Source organism: Homo sapiens, chromosome 8 (genome assembly GCF_000001405.40).
Source record: "Homo sapiens chromosome 8, GRCh38.p14 Primary Assembly".
NCBI classification, from domain to species: domain Eukaryota; kingdom Metazoa; phylum Chordata; class Mammalia; order Primates; family Hominidae; genus Homo; species Homo sapiens.
The window spans coordinates 34,862,935-34,890,062 of NC_000008.11; the positions used below are offsets into that span (position 1 = coordinate 34,862,935).

At 38.8% G+C, this 27,128-nt stretch overlaps 1 long non-coding RNA gene and 1 pseudogene across 1 annotated transcript in view; both read left to right on the top strand.

Annotated features, from left to right (window-relative positions):
* Positions 1-1,864, top strand: part of LINC01288 (long intergenic non-protein coding RNA 1288) — an 80,878-nt gene extending 79,014 nt beyond the window's left edge. The window contains exon 4 of the long non-coding RNA NR_125746.1: positions 1,723-1,864. This is a non-coding gene — a long non-coding RNA (long intergenic non-protein coding RNA 1288). The remainder of the gene's footprint in view (positions 1-1,722) is intronic.
* Positions 11,186-11,746, top strand: RPL21P80 (ribosomal protein L21 pseudogene 80; annotated as a pseudogene).

Sequence of the window (27,128 nt, forward strand, 5' to 3'; positions counted from 1 at the left end):
GGCATGTAGAAAGATGTTTTAGAATGTATACAGAGAATGTGGTGACCAAACAGAGTCCACTATTGACTTATTGTGAAATTTTGGGCAAATTTACCTAACCTGTCTGAAACTCCTTTTCCTCAATTGAAAAACAACAGATTAATCATAATCAAGAATGATTTGTGATAGTTCAAATATATTATTTTTAAAGTGCCTTTTAACAAACAAACGCATAAATGGTTTAGCATGCCAGTTAGATTTCTTTCTAGATAGCATTCTGGCTAGATTCCTCATGCTGCTGCCTCTCCCGTCATAGCAAACCATGGCTTCTGCCATTTGAAATCAGTGGCTATGCCAAACAGCTTCATAGGCTAAATGCATTTTGAATGCTCAGAGTCAGGAGTCTTGCTTCTGACTGCATTGAGAGAGATTTTTGGCTCTGCTTGATTGTGGAAATTATACTTGGAAGAATGGAAAGACTCAAAGCCAGTGTATCCACCAAGCAAATGACCATCTATTTTAAAAACAGTTAAAAGCTGTATTTTCTAAGGAAATACACACACGCATACACACATAGCACCACCATCATCGATCACCACCACAAAGCATTAGCCATTTGCTTCCCAAAGCCAAATTAAACTATTTACATTTTACTCATATTGTTGCTTTCTTATCATGTTTTTCTACAGGAGCCAAATACATCTAATTTCCTTCCTAACCCACACAGACTCTCACCTCTTCTTTAATGACTCTGAAAGGATAGCAGCTAACCTCACTGAGTACTTCCTATGTGGCGGGGGCTTTGCTAAGTATTGGACTCTGTGGGTCCTCAAAACCACATTGTGATACTTTACAATGATTGGTAATTTATAAGTACAGAGAAGTTAAGTAACACTGGCAAGGTTCTATGGGTGGTAAGTGATAAATACTTCCCCAGTCTGTCTGACACCAGAGTCCATGCCATTAATCATCATTCCATCTTGCCTTCCATGTTCTTTACCACCAAAATATATTGACAGTAGTTAACATTATTTAGTATACTTCTGATACTGGTAAGCTAGGGAAGGTCCCCACACACCAGTAGGACCTTCACACCAGCCAGTGTCCAGGCTCTTGACACCGTAGTGAGAAGGCATTCAAGGACAAATTGGAAAATAGTGAAAGTACAGAGATTTATTGCAAAACAAAAAGTACATACTCAAGAAAGGGGAGTGTAGGTGTGCTCAAGAGAGAGTTGGGCAATGGGGCCTGGGGCTTCTAGATTTATGGGTTTCTTTAACCAAGGGGTGAAATACTCATGGAGATTCCTGGAAAAAGGTGCAGATTTCTCAGAACTGTTTTGCCACCCATTTTTACACCAAATATGGGTGTTCCCAGAACTGTCATGGCACGGGTGGTGTGTGATCTAGGATGTTAATGAGTGGATAATGAGGTCCTGGGAGAAAATCTAGGTTAAGTCCAGGGCCATGTTGCATCCAGTGTTTTTAGCCAGATTGGTCCACACCCTGGTTTTCATGGTTTTATCAGCCTCTAGCTTGTGCAGTTATTTGAACAGTTTTTTTTTTCTTCTTTTTTTCTAATCATGTAAAACTGTTGCCTGGATTTGTCTGTTATTTTGCGACCACCATATATTATTTCTGTCTCACTTCTAGGTGACAGGCCCTGTTCTAAATTCTTCATTTCACTCTCTCTTTAAAACCATGCCATGAGTTTGAAATTGTTTTTATCTCTCTCAATTTTCAGATGAGGACACTGAGGCACAATTAAAGAATAACTTGTCAAAGATCACAGTGTTATTAGCAGTGAGAAAGAATGCAGATAAAATCTTCCAACTCTGCATCCCCCATGTGCCCCACACCTTGCCCCGGGGTTACTGAAGACAGAGAACCACTGCAAACTGGTCGCAGGCTACCTTTTCAACCCTCACTGTCACCACACTAGATGCTGGGCTGCTACTTCTGGAATGCTCTACTCACTCCGTGCTTTCTCCATTGCTGAGGTTTTCCTCTCCCTCCCTCTCTTCTCTGTGCTCACCTGGAGAAACTCCTTCATCCTTCAAGGTCTCCAATGTCACTCACTCCCTGTGGACTTCCCTTCCCACCTCCCTTCCCTTCCCTAGACAACGTTTAATTATTTCCACAGCACTAGGATCAGGCTTCTGTCATGCAGTTCGCATGTTATGTCACAGCTAATTGTTTACTATTCTGTCTCTTCTTTCAGATTAAGAGCTCCTCAAAGAAGAAATATCATTTTATTCATCTGTGTTCTCTAATGTCAAACAAAGTGACTAGCATATAATAGATAGGCATTTAATTATATATTGAATTGAATTGGATACAACTGCTTTAGCTGTCCATTTGATTTTGACCCAATAAGGGTTACAACAAAATAAAATCAGAAACCCTTTCACCTAGTGTAGGACTAATATAATAAAAGATTTTAGTCAATGAATTCACAGCTTTGGTCTTGATTCGGAATACCTTATTTTATGATTTTTTTTTTCTGTGAGGGCATTCTAATTTAGTAAAAATACCTGTTTGGTTTGTCAGGTTACTATGGGCGAATGTAGAAGGCTTGAACCTGTGATTTGGTTGGGTTCTGTTCTCTGACATTCCTCTATCTCTCATTTCCTTTCCTTTAATGGTTGATTTCTAAACCTTTTATAAATTACTTTTGGCTATTAGTAAAATTTACCAATTTTCCTTGAAAGAATCATGTGTTCTGATTAAGGTACCAATTTTAGAACCATCTACTATAAAATCTTATTTTACGCTTTTCTGTACAATGTTAATGTTATTTTCTTCATCTGTTCCAAATTTTCACTCTTAATATTGTTTAGTTGTATTGTAAGATGTAAACAGAGATCAAACGTGATGTTTGATGTGTGAAAATCTAACTCAATATACAGATCCTGTAGCAATCTCTCAAATTGAGATCAGAAGCTGTACCAGTCCCTTTAAAGAATAGGGGGTGGGGATAGGGAAGGGGTCCTGCCCTAGCAACAAGCACTTATGCAGGTCAGATGGAGCAACAGTGCTGGTTTTATGGAATTTTGCTGTAAGGGTATTGCTTGCATATATTGATCTGAACACCTTGATATTCCCTGTAGCATTTTGTGCCTCACAGTTACCTTGACTTCTACCTCTCTGTCTACTCTCCTTGGATGTTAACTTACTCTTCACCATCTAATCCGTGTTCCCATTAGGGCTGTGATTATATATGCTACTTGCACCACATTAGATTGTACCAATTAAATCCTTTGACTCCCCAACGCTGTCCAAATCTGTGCATGGGTCTTTATCTTTGACTTAATATTTCATCCTGAGGGTATAACAACACAGGAGTGATGATACAGTCACAATTTTTCCTTCAGTAACAATAGAAATATTACTGGAATATAATATACCTGGCTTCCATTCTATAAGTTGTTCATAGTAAGTGCTATAAACTTAGGCAAATGATCAATATGATCAATGAAGTATGTGAATCAGTATAACTTGTGCAACTCTTTTAATATGCAAACTCTTGTGCTCAATCTTTGACTTACTGAATGGGAATCTCTGGAAACAGAATCCCAAGAGTGTGTATTTTTCATATAGTAGGTGATACTAATGACCACTGTTGGGTTAGAACAACAATTCAGTTTTGATATCTCAAATGTTCCTTCCAGGGGTAGAACGTTTCCCTATCCAAGGTGTTTATCTTCTAAGAATTTTGGAGAATCAGACAGAAATATTAAAAACCAGAATTCATATTAATCTAAAACAAATTAATTTTTTTCTAGAATGTACATGCTCCTTAACCCTGTTTCAGCATATTGTTTCAGGAAATTAAAATGACCAAGTTTGAATTTTTATTAAAAAAAAAAAAAGAAATGCAGAATTTGAGTAATCTGGAAGAGTAACAACAAAAAAATATATCCCTTATCCTGACTAATTGTTGCATAGCTTTCTCAAAATCCTCAGAACCCAATGTCAATTGTCATTAATGGTAATTAATGGCACATTTTATGACTTCTGAGTAACTTATTTTACCTAAAAGACCAATGGGATTGCACCTCACATCATGCCTTATACATGAAATCACTGTTGTCCCAAGGCAAGATAATCCACAATTTGAGGCATAAAAATTCTGAACAGAAAAACCACTGGTGCCAACAGAGCTGCTTACTGGAAGGTGGAGAGGAAATGTGTAAAAGGGAAGGAGAAGAATTAATTTGCAATTTAGCAATTTAGGAGGGAAAGTTGCATCAAGTCATTGACTTCTGCTTAATGGTGGTTTTTTTTCTTCAATTAATACTCAAGTCGAAAATTATTTTCCGCCTGTAAAAAGACAAGGAAGTTTGTATAATGTCTTCAACCGTCACATCACAGAGCAAAGCAGAGACAGAGTTGTCATTTAATGATAACGAGCACCTGCAACAGTCATTTTGTAGTGAGGGCATTGAAAGAAACAAAGCTTCTGGCACAAAATAAGAAATCAGAAGAGAGGTAAGTAGGGCTATGAGTTTACAATTGATGAAGCATAGCTATCCTGAAATTCTGATTTTTTTCAATTGCAGATTGAGAATTCTCTGCATTTATTTTAAAAGCCACAATCATGGAAATGGTGCATTTTAGCAAAAATAAAGACAGCACAGATAATTGACAAATGAAACTGAACCAGAATAAGGTCTGGAATGGACTAAAACAAAGATAATTCATTACAAATGCCCCGACTATAAATTTCATCAGTCATTAATAAGCAAGATTTCAGGCCAGGCGTGGTGGCTCACTCCTGTAATCCCAACACTTTGGGAGGCCGAGGCGGGCGGATCACTTGAGGTCAGGAGTTTGAGACAAGCCTAGCCAACATGATGAAACCCCATCTCTACCAAAAATACAAAAATTAGCTGGGTATGGTGGTGCATGCCTGTAATCTCAGCTATTCAGGAGGCCAAGGCAGAAGAATCACTTGAACCCAAGAGGCAGAGGTTGCAGTGAGCTGAGATCATGCCACTGCACTCCATCCAGCCTAGGTGACAGAGCAAGACTCTGTCTCAAAAAATAATAATAAAATAAAATAAAATAAAAAGCAAGATTTCACATTAATGCTGCTCATTATATATAGTTTGTATTTATGTTCTTTTTATGTGTTTAATTTTAAGTAAACTGAATATAACTAATTTCATGATGTGATTTCAATCATATTTTCTTATCAATTTTGTCATTATCTATGTACATTTTGAGTAAAGGAAACACTTTCCAGAATCGTGCTGAAGCACTCCCTTGTGTCGCTTTGTTTTTTGTGTTGTGTTTTCTTTCTGGGAGGTTAAGTTCTCTAAGAAGGTAAAATCTTAAATGAAGAATAAAGTCAGGTTTCTTGCTGTAAATTTGTTCTGGTTTTCCCTCCTTTCCCTTTCCTCTTTCCCTCTTTAATTCTCTCCTCTCTTTTCTTCCTTCCTTCATGGTTTCTTTCTTCTCTTCCCTCCTTTACCACTTTCTATGTCCTTCCATTTCTAACATAAACATCTCTTGAGTAGCAAACACAGTGTGCATTTTACTGCTTTAGTTTCCTCTATGCCTAATGAAAAATGCCAAAAAGTGAGTGGGTTCCTGCTACCGAGCCCTGTCTCCCAAGCCTGAATGATGTTCTACGGTGCATAACTTCACTGAGTTGGACACACAGGGAAGCTCTAAGATAACAGGATATGGAGACGATGCTGTCTGGTGAACTGAAGTGAGTCAGCTGCAAGTAAGAAGGGTGAAAAAACACTTTAAGGATGTACCGAAGCGTGGAGATAAGCAATCCACCCAGCAGGAGCTCCTAGGTAAGAGCAGAAGCAGAGAGAATGGCCTGATGTTCACAAGTTACAAACTAACTAAATGTGGGCTGAATATGAGTCTATGAGTTTTATAAGTCTGATACTGAAACTCCATAGGACCCACATTTTTGTTCCTAAGATGGAATGCTCTCCTAATTGTCACCCTCTCCAGCAATAACTGCATCCTGATAAGTCCTGTAAGTATTTAAAAGAAAGGTCAGTTTGAAAGATAGCTACACAGCTAACTATATATTACCAAAGGTCTTAAGGAGATGTATGAATGTAATGTTTCAGAAACATCAAGACATGGCAGATTAATCCTATTAAAAGTGACCTATTTCTTATTTGTCATGTAGGATACATCAGGCTATACTTGACCATGAAGCTGTTGTATATATGTATTACATACACACACGCGTGCACACACACACACACCCCTACATTCTTTCTTTCTTTTTGGTGCCAAAACCCAGAAGTGAAGTATGGGAGGAACTTACATAGAAGATTGGCAATCATGGCCAAGTACTCTGAAATGCAGACAGAATAGTGGACTCTCCGTTGCCATATACCTGGAGAATACCATTGTAGGAGATGAGAAAGACTCTGGCAAAGGCTAGCCATAAGGGATAGAAACACAGGCTTTAGCCGTTAGTTTTCAGCTTCAAACTCATAATGCCACATTTTCAAGTACATTGAAAACCCAGCAGTTAAAGTAGCTACTTTAAAGGAAAAAAAGTGATGCATTGGAAGTTAAGATCATTATCACTGCACATTAATTTTTTTTTATAAATCTCTTTCTTCAAGACATTGAGAACTCAGTTTTCATAATGATTCAATAAATATAAACTGAAGAAAAAATTCCACCAGAATCCCAGAAGCGGAAATAACATTACAATGCTAATACAGTCAGTAGGAGGCCACAGTAATCCAGATTATCATACATAACTGTCTCATGGAAACTAATTTGACTTTTATTGTGCTGCTAAATGAAATTATTACATGATCTATAGTTTATTGAGCCCTGTGGCAATGCCAGGGAGTGAAGCACTGAGCTGCATCTTTTACTTTGATGGTTGCAAGATTTTTAAAGCACTTTACACATTAAGAGTGAGTAAAGAAGACTATAATACTCAGAAACAACACAGCTACTAAATAAATTACTTGCCAGAAACCATAATGATGGCAGGACGAATGCAGCAAGCAAAGCATTTCCTCATTAACCATGTGCATCCAATGAAGACAAGGTATTGAAAAGAACTTTCATGTGAGGGTTAGATAATGATGAAGACACAGTTTTCCCTCTGACAGGTATGCCTTGAACAATGCCCCCAGCTGTTCCCTAAGCAATCCTCCTAATAGACACTGAATATTCTGGGAGCTTTGTTTTTTGTTTATTTGTTTGCTTGCTTGTTTTTATTTGTTTTTTGTTTGTTTGTTGAGACAGAAGGAGTACCGCTCTATCACCAGGCTGGAGTGCAGTAGCATGATCTCAGCTCACAGCAACCTCCGCCTCCTGGGTTCAAACGATTCTCATCCCTCAGCCTCCCACCTGAGTAGCTGGGATTGCAGGTGCCTGCCACCACATCTGGCTAATTTTTTGTATTTTTAGTACAGACAAGGTTTCGCCATGTTGGCCAAGCTGGTCTCGAACTCATGACCTCAAGTGATCCGCCCGCCTCAACCTCCCAAAGTGCTGGGATTAACGGTGTGAGCCACCATGCCCAGCCCTTCTGGGAGCTTCGCTATCTTACTTCATGGTGTTGGAAATAATGCACTGAACATCCAAATCCTAAGGCTTTGAAACTATTAGAAGTGGTGCAATATGGTTAAAGATGTGGTTCATTTAAGACACAGTCCAGGCTGGGTGCAGTGGCTCATGCCTGTAATCTCAGCATTTTGAGAGGCCACGGCAGAAGGCTCACTTGAGCCCAGGAGTTTGAGACCAGCCTGAGCAACATAGTGAAATCCTATTTCTACAAAACATAAAAATTAAAAACCTGGGTGTGGTAGTGCATGCCTATAGTCCTAGCTACATGAGAGGATGAGGTGAATCACTTGAGCCCAGGAGGTCAAGGCTACAGTGAAATGTGTTCACACCACTGCACTCCAGGCTGGGTGACAGTGTGATGAGACCTTGTCTCAGAAAAAGAAAGAAAAAGAAAAATTCCAGGGCCAAAAGGAGGACATATGTTTGGAGATAATTAAGTGTTTTCATTACAGGAATTAGATTTAAACATTATAAGGAACACACTTCTTGTTATAGAAATTGGCATTTGAATCATAATTAATATGTTAACAGCAATGGTTCATATTAGTAGTAACAGCTAAAATTTCATGTCATTTTGGAGTTCCTCTTTAGAGTTCCCACCTGCCAAGTAGAGTTAACTCCCTCCTTTCCGCTGTAATACCCACTGTGCTTTCAGTCATTACTGGAACATTTGTCACCCTTACTACAGATCAGTATGCATGTCTTTCTCCCATGTTGAAAGCTCTGGTATTTTGGGGTCTGTGCTATTGGATTATGCTGCTCTATCTTCCAGCTGGGTACACCAACCTACCAGTCACTCAGGCCTATTTATCGAAGATTTTATTACTTGATCACAATCCTCCTCACTACTCCAAGCTGTGAAATCATCCAGAGTGGCTTCAATATCATTGCATATCCTGGCTGTATCAGTCTTTGGTGATCTCATCTTCAATGACTTTTTCTTTCACTCCAGTTTTGCTATCTGCTCCCATAGACACACCCAGGACCTGGTCACTCCCTGAAATTGTTCCTTGTCAAAAATTTCAAATTCAAAAGTATTAAACTATAACTACATCTTTCCCTCCTTCTAGCTATTTTTTCAGTTCTTCCTGGTGTTTTTCAGATCACAAGTTTTCTTGTACATTAAACCCTTTATCTTCTCCTAGACCTCCAGTTTCTACTTTTTCACTTTCCCCATCATCCAGCTGAGGTCCTAGGGTCCGTTTGGCAAGATCCTTTGCTCACTGCTGTTCATCACTTTTTTCAGCCAAACACCAACCCTGAAAGACCCCTGTTATCTTCTTTCTCCACAACTACTCCCTATAGCCAATTACTACTTGGTACAGAAAGGCAAACTGCTTCCATGATGACATAATCATCAACTTCAAATGGGCTCCCCATATGTCTCAACTTAACTCATTCTCCCACTTTCACAACAACTATTTCACACTTTCTTCACTGTCCTCAGAATTCCAAGCCACCCCCTCTTCTCTCATGCTGTTAGTTGATAATTGTTTTCTATTTTATCAGAGCAATAGAAACAACCAGACAAAAGTCTTTACCTTCACAATAACAAATATTGCATTGTCTGTTTCTGAACTATTCCATCTTTTTTTCTGATAAGAGATATTATTTATTTACTTGCCTAAGGCTAGACATTTCATTTACCTGTTCATTGGATCCCACCTGCTCACCACTTCTTAAAACCCCTGAAACTCTGAATATTAATATTTTTTTATCTTCTGGATATTTCATTGCTTCCTTAAGTCAAATCTTCCCTCTGATATTTAAACATGTTGATGTATTCCTTATATTCATAAAAACTCTCCCTGAATTCTAATAACACTCAATCAAGCCTCATCCTCCATTTCCTCTCTGTCAAAGCCAAACTTTTAATCTCAATGTCTCCATCCTTAACCTTTTACTCAGGCAAAAATCTAGTGTCTTTCATGATCACTGCAAGGAAAAGGCTATTATTAGAGTATTCAATGAAATCATGTTGATTGACTGCTCAGCAGCATTTGATAGAGTTAACCACTTTCTTCTTCTTGATATGTTCTTCTATTGGCCTCTGGAACTCTTTCATCCTAGTTTTCTTCCTGCCTCCCTGGTCAATCTCTCTATGCTTCTTGGAAAACTCCTTCTCTAAACAGGCATTAAATATTTTCTTTTCTTAAAGTTCAGATTCTCACCCTCCTTTCCCTCCACAATATTGGTTAGGGATTTTATTCCAATCCATACTTTTAGCATTATTGACATGCCAATGATTCAGCACAGGCCTCTCTTCTTGAGTTCCAGATCTATGTGTATAATTGTCCACCAAAACTTCTACCTACTTCCTCAAATATCTTCAAACACAACTAAACCAAAACCAATTGTATGATTCTCTATCCATATACAGGAGAAAACAACTCAGTTCTCTTCCAGTGCCTTTTATCTAGTAGAATAGCGTCATCATTCACCCAGTTATATAAACCAGAAACTCTCTTCCTCAGCCTACATTTCTCATTCATTCCCGAGGCCCATCAAAGCCTTTTAACTGTGAATATTGTCGAATTTCATCCCTTCTTTCCATCTTCATGGTTGCTAACCTAGCCCAAGCGGCCAACCTGTCCTACCTGAAGACCTGTAGTAGTTCATTACGAGGTCTCCCCCAATCTACTATAATTCATTCTCCAAAATGATGGTAAATTGATTATTTCAAAATACAAATATGATTGTGTCCTCCCTACCTCACCCCTATCTAAAACTCTTTAGTGTTCTCTATTCCTTTAAAGATAAGAAAACAGAAAGTACTTGTATTAGTTCATTTTCACGCTGCTGATAAAGACATACCTGAGACTGGGCAATTTACAAAATAAAGAGATTTAATTGGACTTATAGTTCCACGTGGCTGGGGAAGCCTCACAATCATGGCTGAAGGCAAGGAGGAGCAAGTCACATCTTACGTGGATGGCGGCAGGCAAAAAGAGAGCTTGTGCAGAAAACTCTCATTTTTAAAACCGTCGGATGTCTTGAGAGTTATTTACTATCACAAGAACAACATGAGAAAGATCTGCCCCCATGATTCAATTACCTCCCACCAGGTCCCTCCCACAACACGTGGGAATTCAAGATGAGATTTGGGTGGGGACACAGCCATACCATATCAGTACTCAAGGGATTCTTTGGTCAAAGCTCCTGCCTGCCTTGGAAGCCCCACTTGACATCTTCTTTGCCTCACTCTCTGGAATCCTGTCACTCACTCTGCTGCAGTTCCCCAAATGTGCCATGTCTCCTTCTGTAACAGGATCTTGACAGATGCAGTTCCCTGTGTCTGTATATTCGTCCTCTCTTTGTTGTTGAATAAACTCATAATCACCCTGATCTCTACTCATGTCACTTCCTGAGATGAACTTTTCTTCCCCCAGAATATTTCTTTTCTTCCAAGCCCCAATCTCATTTCCACATATACATAGTATCATTACTTAATTTGATCTATTCCTATCTCATAGGACTGAATATTCCATGAGACCTGGGGAGAGTATATTTAGTACTTGCCCTTTATAAGAACTCAATAAATATTTCTGGTTGAATAGACATATGGAAGTATGGATGGATAGGAAAATTTAAAGTGCATGACATGTTCAAAATGTGAGCAATAAACTAAGATACAGCCTTTTGGCTGGAACCGCCATCTTCCAGTAATTCTCCAAAATGATGAACACAAAGGGAAAGAGGAGAGGCACCCGATATATGTTCTCTAGGCCTTTTAGAAAACATGGAGTTGTTCCTTTGGCCACATATATGTGAATCTATAAGAAAGGTGATATTGTAGACGTCAAGGGAATGGGCACTGTTCAAAAAGGAATGCCCCACAAGTGTTACCACGGCAAAACTGGAAGAGTTTTACCCAGCATGCTGTTGGCATTGTTGTAAACAAACAAGTTAAGGGCAAGATTCTTGCCAAGAGAATTAATGTGCGTATTGAGCACATTAAGCACTCTAAGAGCCGAGATAGCTTCCTGAAATGTGTGAAGGAAAATGATCAGAAAAAGAAAGAAGCCAAAGAGAAAGGTACCTGGGTTCAACTAAAGTGCCAGCCTGCTCCACCCAGAGAAGCACACTTTGTGAGAACCAATGGGAAGGAGCCTGAGCTGCTGGAACCTATTCCCTATGAATTCATGGCATAATAGGTGTTAAAAAAAAAATAAATAAAGGACCTCTGGGCTACAAAATAAATAAATAAATAAATAAATAAATAAATAAATAAACAAACAAACTAAGATACACTATCTATCTATTTATTTTTCATGTTTATTGTATTTTAATCAAGCAAAATCTATTACTGAACTTCTAATCTCTTAATTTTTTCTAATTAAGAAAAAAATTGAATTCTTTAAGTTTTTTTATGAGAGTCCTAGGCTTTTTATATTAAATCCATTATTTTAGAATAACCTCCCATCTCCCAAACCACCTACTTTACAATTCAAAATTCTCATAATATTCTATAGCAGGCAAGAAATATTATTTGGTCTAATGAAAATAACTTCTTTTTACTCAAATATTTGGTATTCAATAATAACCATACTGTTAAAAAGGGAATTGAGATAATCTATTTTAATTCACTTTAATACATATTTATCACACATCTACAATTTGTCACAGTGTTTGTGAGAATATGAAAACGAACAGGGCAAGGCCAGGTGCAGTGGCTCATGCTTGTAATCCCAGAACTTTGGGAGGTCAACGGGGGCAGATCACTTGAGCCCAGGAGTTCAAGACTAGCCTGGTCAACATGACGAAACCCTGTCTCTACTAAAAAAAGAAAATGAACAGGACTGATATTTACCCTGCTGGTATGAAGTTGCTAACAGAAAAGCTGGTAGTTTAATCATTTTATTGTAACATTTAATTATTTATTGTTTGAGTTTCCAGGCCTTTTGAAACACTTTACTGAATAACTGAATAATATTGACCAAGAGTGGTCCTTTAATAGGACAATCTACACTCACAATAATGATTTTAATAAATTAGGGAGCACTCTACCAAAGGAGACATATGGTAATATATGACCAGAGGAAGATAAACATGATTTTAATGAATATTTTTAATCATCATTCAATCTTCGTAATAATCTTTAGCTTAAAGACTGTATAAGAGTCACAAAATGAAATAAAATAATAGTTAATATCATAATGAACCCCAGGGGAAAAGACAGAAAATATAGATAATATCCATAATACCCTAGGCATGGGTATTGTTTAAAATTTAATATGTTTAAGCATATTAAATTCTGGCAAGAGTAATAAATTAAGAAATGAATGCTTTTAAAAATATCGATATCAGAAAATTCAAAATAAATACAATTCCTATTGAATGAGAGTCTCTCTCGTGACACCTGCTTCTTGAACACCACATTCCTTGAAGGAGTGATTACCCATCCCCCAGTTGGCTTCCATTATTACTTTAAATATTAATTGATAATTTGCTATGAGCTAGAAAGGCATTGGGCTAAGAACTTTCTACAGATAATTTCATGTAACCCTATAGGAAAATTATGAGCTAGGCACAGTTTCTATTCCATTTCACTGATGAAGGAAACTGTGGTGCAGATAAATTAAATAACTTTTTCAGGATGACACGGTTAGTAAGTGGTAGAGCAGGGATTTAAAACCGTATTGTGTGACCCCAGTGCTCTTACCTGACTATATATTGGTATACTGTTGTCCCTCAGTATTTGTAGAGGATTGGTTCTAGGACTCCCCTTGGATACCAAAATCCACGAATGCACAAGTCCCTGATATAAAATAGTGTAATATTTACATATAACTTATGCACATCCTTTCATATACTTTAAATCATCCCTAGATTACTTATAATACCTAATACAATGTAAATGCTAGCTAAATAGATGTTGCACTGTATTGTTTAGGGGTAATGATAAGAAACAATATCTGTACATATTAAGTCCAAATGCAACTATCTATTTTTTTTTCTTTTTCAATCCACTCTTGGTTGAATCCATGGATGCACACCCATGAATACGAAGGAATGACTGCGCTCTCCTCCAATAAAATCTCCTAATAAGTGAGTTTAAATTCACATAAGTGAAACAGGCACCAATTTTAGAAGAGCAGTGTGTAATTTAGAAATCAAACACTGATCAATATACAACTCCAAAATATTGGAGGAATCATCACTTTTCTGCCTTGCAGTGAAAAGAGAAAAGTCATTTAGATAAGGTCAAAATTGACCATCTGTGCTTTGTTTCGTTTATTTTATTTTACTTTATTTTATTTTGAGAAAAGGTGTCTCTCTGTCACCCAGGCCAGAGTGCAGTGGTGCAATCATGGTTCACTGCAGCCTCTAACTCCTAGGCTTAAGCAATCCTCCCACTTCACCTTCCTGAATAGCTGGGACCACAGGCACACACCATCATGCCCATCTAATTTTAAAACTTTTGTACAAATAGGGTCCCACTATGTTGTCCAGGCTGGTTTTGAACTCCTGGGCTCAAGTGATCCTCCCACCTTGGCTTCCCAAAGTGCTGGGATTGCAGGCATGAGATAGGGCCAGGAACAGTGTCTCCTGCCTATGATCTGTGGATCACATGCCTCTAATTGGGTTTTAGTAATTTTTTTTTTTGCTTTTTCCTTTCCAAAAGTTGTAACTGAATTTGTGGGGAGACTTGAAACTTTCTAGGCCTTCACTGTTTTGTTTTGTTTTGTTTTTTATAAAAAGTATTGTTGCCTTTTACCGTAAATCTGAAATTGATCTCTCAAGCTAGGGCAGGGAAAGAATGTTGAGTAGGGGGAGCCACACAGGACTGAGAACTATAAAACAGAGCAAATTACAGCCAAGAGAGCATGACCTGTAACTACTTGGTCATAGCTGCATTAAAGGGCAAATTCACATGTTCACAGAAAGTGCTTTCATCACTCAAAGGGGCACTTCTGAAAATGACAACTCGCTGGAAATGAGAATGAGGGAGGTGAGGCCGAGGTCATCTGCTACAGTTACCTGCTTACTCATTTTAGCTACAGTGGGAAATGCTGAGGTTTTCAAAACAAACAACCTTGTCTTTCCCTTTATATTTCTCTTTGGTCAACAACGAACTTTGCTTTGTATGTGTCAGGCATGAAGGAGAATGTTAACTCAAGATTAATCTACCTAAAATACTGAGACATCTGAGTGTGCTCTTGTTAACTACTTGCTCATTTTTGACAAAACAAAACACACAAACACATACACAGATACATACACATATACAAATACACAGAGTGTTCACAGCTGTGCTTTTTACTTCTGTCATCTGGGTGTGGTAGTTGGAAACTGCAGCATGAGGGAGAAGGGGAGAGGGGAACACGTATGGGGTTTACAATGCAGCATGTGTACAGCTTCATTGTAGACATTCAACCTCCTCCTTCTCAACATTTACTATCAAATGTCCTTCATTTACCTCCCTTCGGGGTACTTTGATAACACGCAAGTCCCAGACTGATCCCATCGCAACATTCTTCTCTTCCCATTATCTTCACTTCACTCTGTTCTTTTGGCTTTTCCTTCCCTTCGCAGGGGCAAAACACTAAAACAAACAAAAACAGGAAGGAAGGAAGAAAGGAAAGAAGGAAGGAAGGGAGGGAGGGAGAAAAGAAGGGAGGGAGGAAGGAAGAGAGAAAGGGAGAGTGGGAGCAAAGAAAGAGAGGATGGAGGGAAGAAAAGAAAAAAGTCTGAGAGAGAGAAAGAAAGAAAAGAAAAAGGAGGGAGGGAGGAAGGAAAGAAAGGGAGAGAGAAAGAAAGAAAGAGAGAAAGAAAAAAGGAAGGAATGAAAGAAGGAAAGAAAAAGCTAGTAAGCATGCAGGAGAAAGAAAGGAAGTGAGAGGCCAAATAGATAGACAATGGCCAGATCATACATGAAAATAGAATTTTCACCCACAACCTACAGAAGTCAGAAATCTGCTAAGAAAACTCACCCCCATACCTACAACAACCAGCCCAAGAAGCCAGCCTGCTACAGGTCAGACTTGTAGGAATCCAAAGTGCTATCTCTAATAACGATCCAGGAAGCTAAACAATAACTTCCAGAACAACAGACCCAAAATGGCCTGGGCTTGATTAATAGCTGACCCCTCCCTCAATTTTTATCCCTACTTCAAATTTAGGATCAACCAGGAAAAGCCAAATATTCCCCCCTAACTAATCCCATAGGATGCCTTTTATCTAGTCAGCCCACCCACAGGCTTCCCATGCCAACAGCCTCCAATATGGGCACACCTGAAGCCTTCCCTCCTTTCCACTATGAAGCTTCCCCATTCCTCTGCCTGCCTTTGAGTATCTGCCAAAATGCAAGTGATAGTGACTGACTTCCTTAGCTACAGCAAGCTCAGAATACATAGCCTTTGTTTGTTCTCATTTGGTTGATCTTCATTTATTTCCACAGAAGAAAGGAAGAAAGAAAACAAGAAAGAGAAAGAAAAGAAAAAAAAATCTTATGGCTAATTGGTATCTTTGTACTCTGTTTCATTTTCTACATATCCAATAAATAGTATTAATAATTTCTTGAGGGCATGGATTCTTATGTATGTACATACATATATTTGCATTCCCAGATATTCCTAGCTAAAGGTCATTAATATAGTAGATAATGAATAATACTTTATTAATTATTAATTACACTATGGTGTTTTGTTTCATTTAATAATTCTTTTGACTTACATATCAAAAGAACCTTATATGAATTTAATGCAACATCCATCTCAAATTGGGGAGCTAAATTGCACGAATATAAAATTGCATCTTATAAATGCATAACTATGGGAGACCATAATATGCCACCGCAAAATGTTCTTGAGCTGAAAACAATTAAGAAGATGCAGATGCTGGAAGCTCTCTGCCTTCCCTCTAACTACTTAAAATCAGAATATAAATTTATTTTCAAAAAAAAAAATTCCTGCCTCCCCTCTACCAGGGAGAATAAATGTTAACAACTTTAGACCCCTATCATGTGGAGATTATACCAGAGGAAGCTACATTAACCAGATTTACTAACCAGCTTTTATCTGCCAGTTATTTGCCTTCCCCCAAGTTCCACCCTCAGAGACTCGAAGTCCTTTTTCTTTTTTCTTGTCATTTCTCTAACCATTTACTGCTCTTTGTTGAAGATGCTGTATAAATAAGCTGAAATTCAAAGTCACCTCTTTGAGAACTTCTCGTTCCCTAGGTCTCTCCCATGTATATATGAAATATATGTGTTAATTGACTTCTTTTGGGTTTTTTTTCTTGTTAATCTGTCTTTTGTAACAGGAGTCCATTCCAACCAAGAATCTATGGGATTATTCTTTCTTTAGCTAATCAGCAACCTTACAAGACTTCTGACTGCTGCTTGTTTCCCTACCACATTATGCTGTTTTTCATACTTAAAACAAGTTCTGAATGTACATATAAATTATATTAATGCATGTATCTATCTCTCATATATATGTATCAATAAATTATTTTATAAATTTGGAAAAATTATACTCTTGTGTATACATTTGATATGGAAAGTAATATAGTGGATAGTATTGTTATGAGGTCTTTGGGGTGTTGCTTTTCTGGCCAGAAACCTCTGTGGCCAATGGTGCCTTTGTCTGAGTTCTTATCCTTCGTTCAGGAAGAATGAGGTATGCAGACAAGTGGAGAGTGAGCAAGACAAAAAGGAGCTTTATTGAGAGTTACAACAGCTCAGAGGAGGCCCGCAGTGGGTAGTGGGTAGCTCCTCTCCATAGGCAGGTTGTCCGTTTGAGTGTTCAGCTCTCAGCAGAGAGGAGACCCTGGAGTGGGGGCCTCCCCTCCAGGCAGGTCATCCTGCAGAGTGTTTAGCTTTCAGAAGAGAGGGTAGCTCCTCTCTGCAGCTGGTCAACCCAACCGTCTGCAGCTTTCAGCAGAAAGGAAGCCCTGGAGAAGTCTGCTTTTCCCTGGCTGAGTCCTGGGATTTTCTTCCTTCAGAGGGAAGTACATGCTGATTAGTCCATGAGCAAACATGAGTGGGCCAAGGATAAAGCACCATGAGTTCCTCCTCTGGTAGGCAGGACTGGAAGCCCAGCCCCCAGGCTTCAGGCCCTCCCTGGCCTGAAGGTGGGGCTTCACCACGGCAGCCCCCTTCCACCTAGGAGCCAGTCTTCTTCCCACAGCTTCATGGCACCCAGGCTGTTTGTGACAAGGGGAGCCTACAGGCTGCACCCCCTCGGCTTCTCTCCCATGCTCCCAGGGGTCAAAGTCCGGAGGTGGCAGGAAGCTGGTGTGTCACCACTGCCCTGAGCATGCCCACTACGACAGTACCCAGGCACAGCCCCAAACTTGCTCCACAATCAGAGCAGGTCCTGGGGACAGGGAAAGGCCCGGCAGTGGGAGCAGGCACTTCTGAGCCTGTGGAGAGCAAGGGAAACTTCCTGGGCCCCGAGAGCACAGAGATGTCTGGGTCCCCACCTAGGATGGGTGCCTGCAGTTGCAACCAGGGAGCTCCTGCCCAACCAATTCAGAAGGGGCGGGGCTCCCCCTTGCCTACTCTTGCCAGTTCCTGGAGCATGCAGCCCTGATCATGCCTCTGAGATTGGAGAGGGCACCAACAGCAAGTAGAAACCAGACACTGGGAGCAAGAAAAAGTCTGCAAAATATCCAAATCTATTTAATCTTCTTGAGTCTGTTGCTATTGCAGAAAAGTGACAAGAGGTAAAGGGTGGTTTTAAGACCACTGTCTTTCTCCTATGATACTGAGATGCTAAGAAGCACTTCCTAAAGTTGGTAGAACAAGAAACAGGAGTTCAGGAATATCATTTATATTTGTACACATAACTATAAGTAAAATTAAACACTAAAACTAAACCTGGTTTTTTTTGGGGTTTTTTTTTTGTGAGACAGGGTCTTGGTCTCACCATTGCCTAAGCTAGTCTTGGACTCCTGGGCTTAAGGAATCCTCCTGCCTCAGCATCCTGAGAAGCTGAGACTACAGGCATGTACCACCTTACCTAGCTATTGGACATATTTTTTAAAATCGGGCAGAGCAAAGAGAAAAAATAGGTAAGAATTCCTATCTGTTACAATAGAGCTGTGTGGTCTAAATTTGGTGCATCCAGAAATGAAGTTATTATTGTTATTTAAGTTATTTTGATTTAAGGTGACCATCAACTATAGAAGTGAAAACAGAAACAGCCAAAATCAGTAAGGCTAGTAATGGGGGCAGGAGCAAGAAACTTTAGTTATTAATGTAATTCTATTATATACTGCTTGCTTTAAAATAAAAAGTTCAAGCTTTTCCAATATGATGTATGGTGTAATAGTTTGGTTTTATGAAATGGTGTGTGGTCTAATTTGAAACTGTATATTATTATAAAAATATTGAATTATAATATTTAATGTTATAAAATTAAGTGATTGTAATATTTAAATATTTAATTCATATGAATAACACTTTATATAAATTATAATATTAAATATAATGGAGGTAATAAATGGGTAATTATAAAAGTCTGAAATTGAGACACCTTTTGTGGATCTTACATGCTGGATTCTTTATAAAGCTTTCTTGCAAACAGAATTGTAAGTTAACAAAACAAGCAAACTGATAACGTGTGCTGAAGTGGTTTGTGGTAAAAAGTAGTTGATTCTGAGAGGTGAAGCCAGCTGGACTTCCTGCGTGGAGTGGGGATTTGGAGAACTCTTCTGTTTTAGAAGAAGATTGTAAAATGCACCAATCAGTGCTCTGTAGCTAGCTAGAGGTTTGTAAAATGGACCAACCAGCACTCTGTAAAATGGACCAATCAGCAGGACATAGGTGGGGACAAGTAAGGGAATAAAAGCTGGCCACCCCAGCCAGCAGGGGCAACCCACTTGGGTCACCTTCCACCCTGTGGAAGCTTTGTGCTTTCACTCTTCACAATAAATCTTGCTGCTGCTCACTCTTTGGGTCCATGCCATCTTTGAGAGCTGTAACACTCACCGCAAAGTTCTGTGGCTTCATTCTTTTTTTTCTTTCTTTTTTTTTTTTTTTTTTTTGAGACGGAGTCTCGCTCTGTCACCTAAGCTGGAGTGCGTGCAGTGGCGTGATCTCAGCTCACTGCAAGCTCTGCCTCCCGGGTTCACGCCATTCTCCTGCCTCAGCTTCCCTCGTAGCTGGGACTACAGGCTCCTGCCACCATGCCTGGCTAATTTTTTGTATTTTTTAGTAGAGACGGGGTTTCACCGTGTTAGCCAGGATGGTCTGGATCTCCTGACCTCGTGATCCACCCGCCTCAGCCTCCCAAAGTGCTGGGATTACAGGCATGAGCCACCGTGCCTGGCTGGCGGCTTCATTCGAGAACTCAGCAAGACCACAAACCAACCAGAAGAAAGAAACTCTGGACACATCTGAAGGAACAAACTCCGGACAAACCACCTTTAAGAGCTGTAACACTCGCCACGAAGTTCCGCAGCTTCATTCTTGAAGTCAGCGAGACCACGAACCCACTGGAAGGAACAAACTCTGGACACAATTCTATACTTTGATTCTATAGTATGAAATGCATCAAAGAAATGAGATGGATTGATGGATAATTAGAAGAAGGACTGGTGGGTAGTATTAAATAAAACAATTAGAATAAAAGATTAATTTTAAAACCTAAGTAGAAAGTATGTGTATATTTGCCCTACTGTCTTTTTAATTTCTCTTCTACTTAAAAATTTTCATAAAATGGGATTTTTTTTGAAAAATTGCAAACAAAACAAAGTCAAGTAAAAAACACATAAAAAACCTCTATGCTTTCCTGTCCTTGCTTTTGATAGATCCTGAGTTTATGTCAGCCATGAGGTCTCTTTTCAACAGAAGGTTCAAAATCTGTCCTTGTTAGTATGACAAAGAAGAAATTCTAATTCTGAGCAGAGATGTGAGAGGAAGGAAAATTGTGCTTGCAGACTTGCCTTTCCTGTGGCCAGTTCGATACAGACACTTATGGAAGTGTTCCATTTTAGCAATTTGCCTTAGCAGTTCTTACAATTTGTCTCCAAAATTGATTTTAGGACTAAATACTATAAAATTATTGGCCTCGAGAATAAATACTTAATTTTTCTATAAAATGCGAACATACCTATTTGATCTTTATTGTTATTATTGTTGTTTTTGTGAGAAACTTTAAAATTTAAGACTTGCCTATGAGAGGATTACCAAGAGACATCTCAGGGTCTCAGGATTGGAGGTGGGAGTGGGGATTAACATAAATGAAAAAGTTGGTTTCATCAACAAAAAATAGATTATTCAGAAATGCTGAAGAGCATCACACAGATTCACCTTGTGAATCCCCTCTGGTTTCAATTCCTGTTCTTCACCATCAATGCTGAGACCTTGCAAAGACCATTTCATCAAGAATAAGTACAACTCCCCCATCTGCTGTCTCTAATATTTCTGAAACACTAAATGAGAAGAAAGGAATGAAGGTATTATAATAATTTCCAAGTACTATCTTCCATATTTTAGGTTCTAATATTCAGCGGTTCTTGCTTAGAAGCATACTATACCTGCCTAAGAACTTTCTATATCTTTTCTTTTATCCTACTTAATCTGACCATCTATTATTACAAAACAAGAAGAGAAATGCAGGTTCCATGTGTACCACAGTTTTATTAAGTTCAGCATTCTTTTCAACCACTGAGCAAGACCACAGTAGAAACTCTAGCAAAACATCTGCATTTTTTCAGGCAATTGGGTTCAGAGATATTTGGTGTTGCTTTTTTTTTCTCTTTTTTTTTTTAAATAAAAAGTTTCTTACTCATTATGAACTATGTTGTTACTTTTGTTTTGTAACAGATATAACGTTAGAAAACATCTTAGAAGCTCTTCACCTTTGCCCTTAGTATTCTCTATTTAGAAATGGAGACATAGAAGTTTTATCTCCTAAGTTAAAAATAACAACTTAGGAAATGCAAGGGTGAATTCAGCAGCAAGAACCTGCTAATTGGCAAGTTTGAGTTTGCTTAGGCAGTGTTAAGGGAGAAGATACATATTTTGAGTAACATAAGAGAGACTCTTTGCAAACACTTCACTTCACTTCAGATTTTGTGTTGTTAAAGCAGAGTGACTCAGTGTCAGGACTAAAGGATCTTAGAAGCTAATAGCTTGCCAGTACCCAAAGCACCCTACAAGCCTGTGTAAATCTCCTCAATTAACCTCCATTTAAAAAAAAATAGATAAGTAAACAAAAGTAATCCACTGAGCAGAATCTCCAGAGCATTAAGGAAACAAATGCAATACGTCATTTTTCTTTCATAAGAGCAGAGGAGGGAGAGCAAGGGGGAGATGGAGAGGGTTTACACATGAGTGTGGACAGGGGGGTGTCTGAGGGTGTTGAGTCAATAAGTCACATTAACCCACATTGATGACCTTATTTATGATTCAATCATAGACCTAACCAATCACACAACTTCATAATCTAAGTCCATCACATCCCTGTTGAAGGTATAATGCCTGGTGTTTACTTTTAATCCTGTTATGGGATAGGTTGGATTGAATATCCAGGGAGCAAAATTTTCTTGTAGATTTTGTCTTACATTCTAACTAATGAAGCCACCCTCACAAGGTTAATAAGAATTCTGGACAGGAATATAATTATAATTAAGCAGTCCTTCGACCCACTTCCTTGTAACCAAAAGTCACCTAACACTATTTACTGATCATTTGCATCTCCATTGCTTCTACAGATAGGATTTCTCATGTTAGGATCATAAGGCTTTGGTTTAAGAGTTGCTTAAGCAGATCCTGACTTCCAGTAGAATAGCTGACACCAACCAATTTGAAGACCCCTTTAGAGAAACCAAATCAGCATGAGAATTGTGTTTCTTTGTCTCCCTGTCTCACGACTTCAGTATAGCCTCTTGACAAATCAACAATCTCCACACTTTAGTCCATTCCAAAACCCTTAAGAACCCTAACTCCAAGCTCCCCCAAGGAGACTGATGTGAGGTTTCCTCCTGTCTCCTCATTCAACAGCCCTATTATTAAATTTCTTTCTCTTCTGCAACTTGTTACCATGTATTGACTTGCCATGAGCACAAATCTATTACATTTACACTAAAATCATTTTATTTCACATAGTTTCTCAGATTTTGGTAGCTAGCAGATGGAAGAAACCAGATTCTCTGAGATTTAATGCATAACTCCAGCACATTTTGAAAGTCCTAACTTTCTGAACAGGAACTCAGGAGACCAGGGTTGTACTCTTACCTGTGACTCTTACTATCCCATTTGTCTTGAGTAGGGTTTTTAACCTTCCTAGAGTCTTAGTTCCAACATTGGTAAGATATGAAACTCACTAGTGGACTACAAAGTTCTATCTTGTACCTTCAGGAAGGGTGTTATAAGGAGCTGGAGGGAAGATGATGGTGATGATGGTGATTGCTAACATTGATCAGTCATTTGCTACATTTGAGGAACATGTTAAATACTTTCAAATAACATTTTACTTTATTCTCACAAATCCCCTATAATGAGTGATCTAAGATTTATCTTACATTGTGGGGGGAGAGAGTATATTTCAGCATGTTTACTAATTCTTACAAAGCAAATATTTTTTACCTACCTTCCTCCCCCAAGATCTGTTGAGATGTCAAAAGAGGTTGGTGTATGTAAAAATTCTTTAGAAATTGTAAAGCAAATGCAAATGTGAATTACTATTTGGATCACCGGTCAGCACTGTCGGCAAAATTTCAGGCAAGTTACCTTCCTTTTTCCCTGGTACATTTTAATCTCAATTTCAATCACTCTATAGTCATTTCTATTGTTTAACTATCTTTTTAAGTTTCATTTTTACTTTCATTTTATTGTAATAGAAATTTAGCCATTGTTTAGCCTACTATTCAAACTTTAGTGTCTTTATTTTCAAAGTATAACTAAATGTCACAGATTATTTTTCATTATAATAGTGTTGGTTTTTTAACAATAAAAATAATTATCCTTTCAAGTGGTCATGTTGTGTTCCCATGCATGAGGTGCCCTTAGGGTTAATAGCCATGGAAGGAATGAATGGGGAATAGAATTGTTTGGGGAAGTTGAACTGCCATGTAGTTTTTGTGGGAGTGCTAGTCAATACTACAGATAATCTGAAGCTGGAATGAAAATTCAGAGATATTCCAAGTCACTGTAAGACAGCCAGGTCTTTCTATTCCCACACAGTTCAGTCATTAATGTGGGCAATTCCCCTGGAAGGGATATGACCTCAGCTCTCTTCAGCAGATGTAAGCCCAAAGGGAGATAACTCCTGATAGCTGGTCTCCTGCAACTTCCCAGCAACTGCCGTCTAGTTTTTCATTCCTGAAGAGGAATCTTGATGTGTCACATATCACAAGGTATACCACCTAGGCTTAGAGAAATACAAAAATTTACTTTGAACAAATCTTTGTTTAAAGAGCAGCCTTTGAGTAACCCCCTTTGGTTATGTAAATATTAGTTTAGTAGTCACCCAAGCTTAACCTTGGAGGATAAGCAGGAAGACCTTTTGTGACCTAAAGACATCTTTTCCAAATATATCCTGGTATGCAAAACTGGTCACTGGATAAATTTGCCAAAAGACCATCCTGGAAGAAAAAGATGGAGAATCTGACCTCTTCCCTTTTGAGATTTAATTCTGCACCAAATCTCATCTATCTGCAGAAAGCCTCCTAATTGAGATCTGCTGGTAGGAAAGGACCAAGACTGTCCAAGGGGAACTGTAAAGAACAGAAATGGAAAAGCATCCTGATAACACAGGCTTTTCATGAGAACTGAAAGGTTTTACTGAAGATACTTGGTGCTGATTCCTGTATCTGCTTGAGGTTGGAAAGTCTCCTGGATCCAGCAACCCTGACATGATAACCTTGCTTTAAGAGCAAAAGCTGAGAATGTGATTAGGAAATACAAATGGTTGCTGCTTAGCAAACTTCAGTGTGAGGTACCATTGCAGATGGTATCAAGAACTAGAGTAATAAAGGTAACACAGCAGTGAGCAAGAATGCTTAGAACTGGATAAGACTTATTTTCATTAGTGACATCTTACAGCCCTGTTCAAAGCAATTCAAACATTCATTCACTAAATATTTGAGTGACTACAATGTAATGAGATTTCATCTAGGGATCTGGGAAGACAGCAGCAAACAAAAGCAACACAATCTTTCCTCTTAAAGAGTGTAGGACAGGGGCAGTGGCTCAAGCCTATGATCTCAGCACTTTGGGAGGCTGAGTCAGGAGGATCATTTGAGCCTGGGAATTTGAGACCAGCCTGGGCAATATGATGAAACCCCATATTTGCAAAAATCAGCCAGGGGTGGTGGTGTGCACCTGCAGTTCCTGGTACTCAGAAGGCTGAGATGGGAGAATCACTTGAACCCTGGGAGGTTGAGGCTGCAGTGAGCTGTGATGGCACCACTGTACTCCAGCCTAGATTAGAGTGAGACCCCATCTTTAACAAATACAAAATAAAGAGATTAAATTCTGGCAGCAGAGACACAAAATTTAAAAGTAACTTAGTAACTAAAGATAATAAGATAATTTAAGATAGGTTATCCACAGTAAAGGAAAGTATCAGGGGAACCCACCCCCAATATTTCAACGTAGGTTCTTTCTATTTTCCGTAAGTGTTGGCCGGCTGAGAAATAAAAAGAAAGAGTACAAAGAGAGGAATTTTACAGCTGGGCAGCCAGGGGTGACATCACATATCAGTAGGACCATGAGGCCCACCTGAGCCTTAAAGCCAGCAAGTTTTATTAAGGATTTCAAAAGGGCAAGGGGTGCAAGAACAGGGAGTAGGTCACAAAGATCAATGCTTCACAGGGCAAAAAGGAGAACAAAGATCACATGCTTCAAAGGGCAAAAAGGAGAACAAAGAACACATGCTTCTGAGGAAACAGGACAAGGGCAAAATCAAAAACTCCTGAGAAGGGTCCAACAAGGTCACAAGGCAAAGGGCAAAGATCACAAGGCAAAGAGCAAAAGCAAAATTACTGATAAGGGTCTATGTTCAGCAGTGCATGTATTTTCTTGATAAACATCTTAAACAACAGAAAACAGGGTATGAGAGCAGAGAAACAATCTGACCTCAAATTTACCAAGGAGGGGTTTTTCCCTACCCTAGTTAGCCTGAGAGTACTGCAGGAGACCAGGGCATATTTCAGTCCTTATCTCAACAGCATAAGACAAACACTCCCAGAGTGGCCATTTATAGACCTCCCCCCAGGAATGCATTCATTCTCCAGGGTATTAATTATTAATATTCCTTGCTTGGAAAAGAATTTAGCGATATCTTCCCTATTTGCACGTCCTTTTATAGGCTCTCTGCAAGAAGAAAAATATGGCTCTATTTTGCCCAACTCCACAGGCATTCAGACCTTATGGTTGTCTTCCCTTGTTCCCTGAAAATCGCTGTTATTCTGTTCTTTTTCAAGGTGCACTGATTTCATATTGTTCAAACACACATGTTTTACAATCAATTTGTACAGTTAACACAATTATCACAGTAGTCCTGAGGTGACATACATCCTAGCTTATGAAGATAACAGGATTAAGAGATTAAAGTAAGGCAGGCATAAGAAATTATGAAAGTATTACTTGGGAACTGGTAAATGTCCATGAAATCTTCACAATTTATGTTCCTCTGCTGCGGCTCCAGTTGGTCCCTCCATTCAAGGTCCCTGACTTTCCACAACATGAAATAAAGCAGAATAGTTTTGTAGAGAGTAGCTAGAGAATGCTACCTCATGACAAAGACAGTTTCCATGACCAAACTTCAGTTAGGTTCCTCTGAGCCCTCTTCCCAACAAGGCCTTCATGTTGATCCCCATCCTGACAGGGTCTGCATTGTTCAGTCTTAGCAAGAATCCTGTTAAGTCAGTCTAGTAAGAATCCCCCACCCTTGATATCTGATCACTCTTGATGATGTCTGATGGGATTCTTCATCGTCTACCCTTGTACTTGGTGACCCTGGCCTGCCTTTATCAAGAATCTCATTGAGTAGGTTTAGCAAGAATCTCCTCTACACTTGATGTCTCCTCTTAGTAATTTTACACCCCTGATCCTTTCACTGTTCTCATTGGCTGCAAGTCCCCAGCTGTTTTTGCTGTATTTGAAGTTGATTCTGATCTCTCCTCACTATTCTAATGGCTTTGACACCTATTACAATGGTCTCGAATAGTCTTCCTCACTCTTTTAACAAGTGTCGGAGTTATCTTTTCTTTAAAACTTTCCCAAATGTCATCTGAAAAGCATGTTGCTAAGACAAAGGAAAGTTTATTGTTTATTGCATTAAGAGAGACTACTGCTTCAATGGAATCTGATAGTCTTCCTATCAGAGGAGGAAGAATAAAGTCTATCTATTGAGATACTAAAGTTTGAGTTAGGGCAGTGGGAATTGGGGAAAAGATTAGTATTGGGCAGGAATCATGATAAAATAGTTTAGGATTTGAAGACAGAGCCAAAGGAAGATTTTGAAGCGAGAAGTTCAAGAGTATTAAGATGCAAACTGCCTGTGTTCATTCTTTATTAAAGGGCTGATTAGTCATTCTGGAAGTTGGAAGTTGTTATAATGAATAATAAAGTTATCTACAATTTATTTTCCAAGAGTCTCCTGGAATTGTGAAGTTATA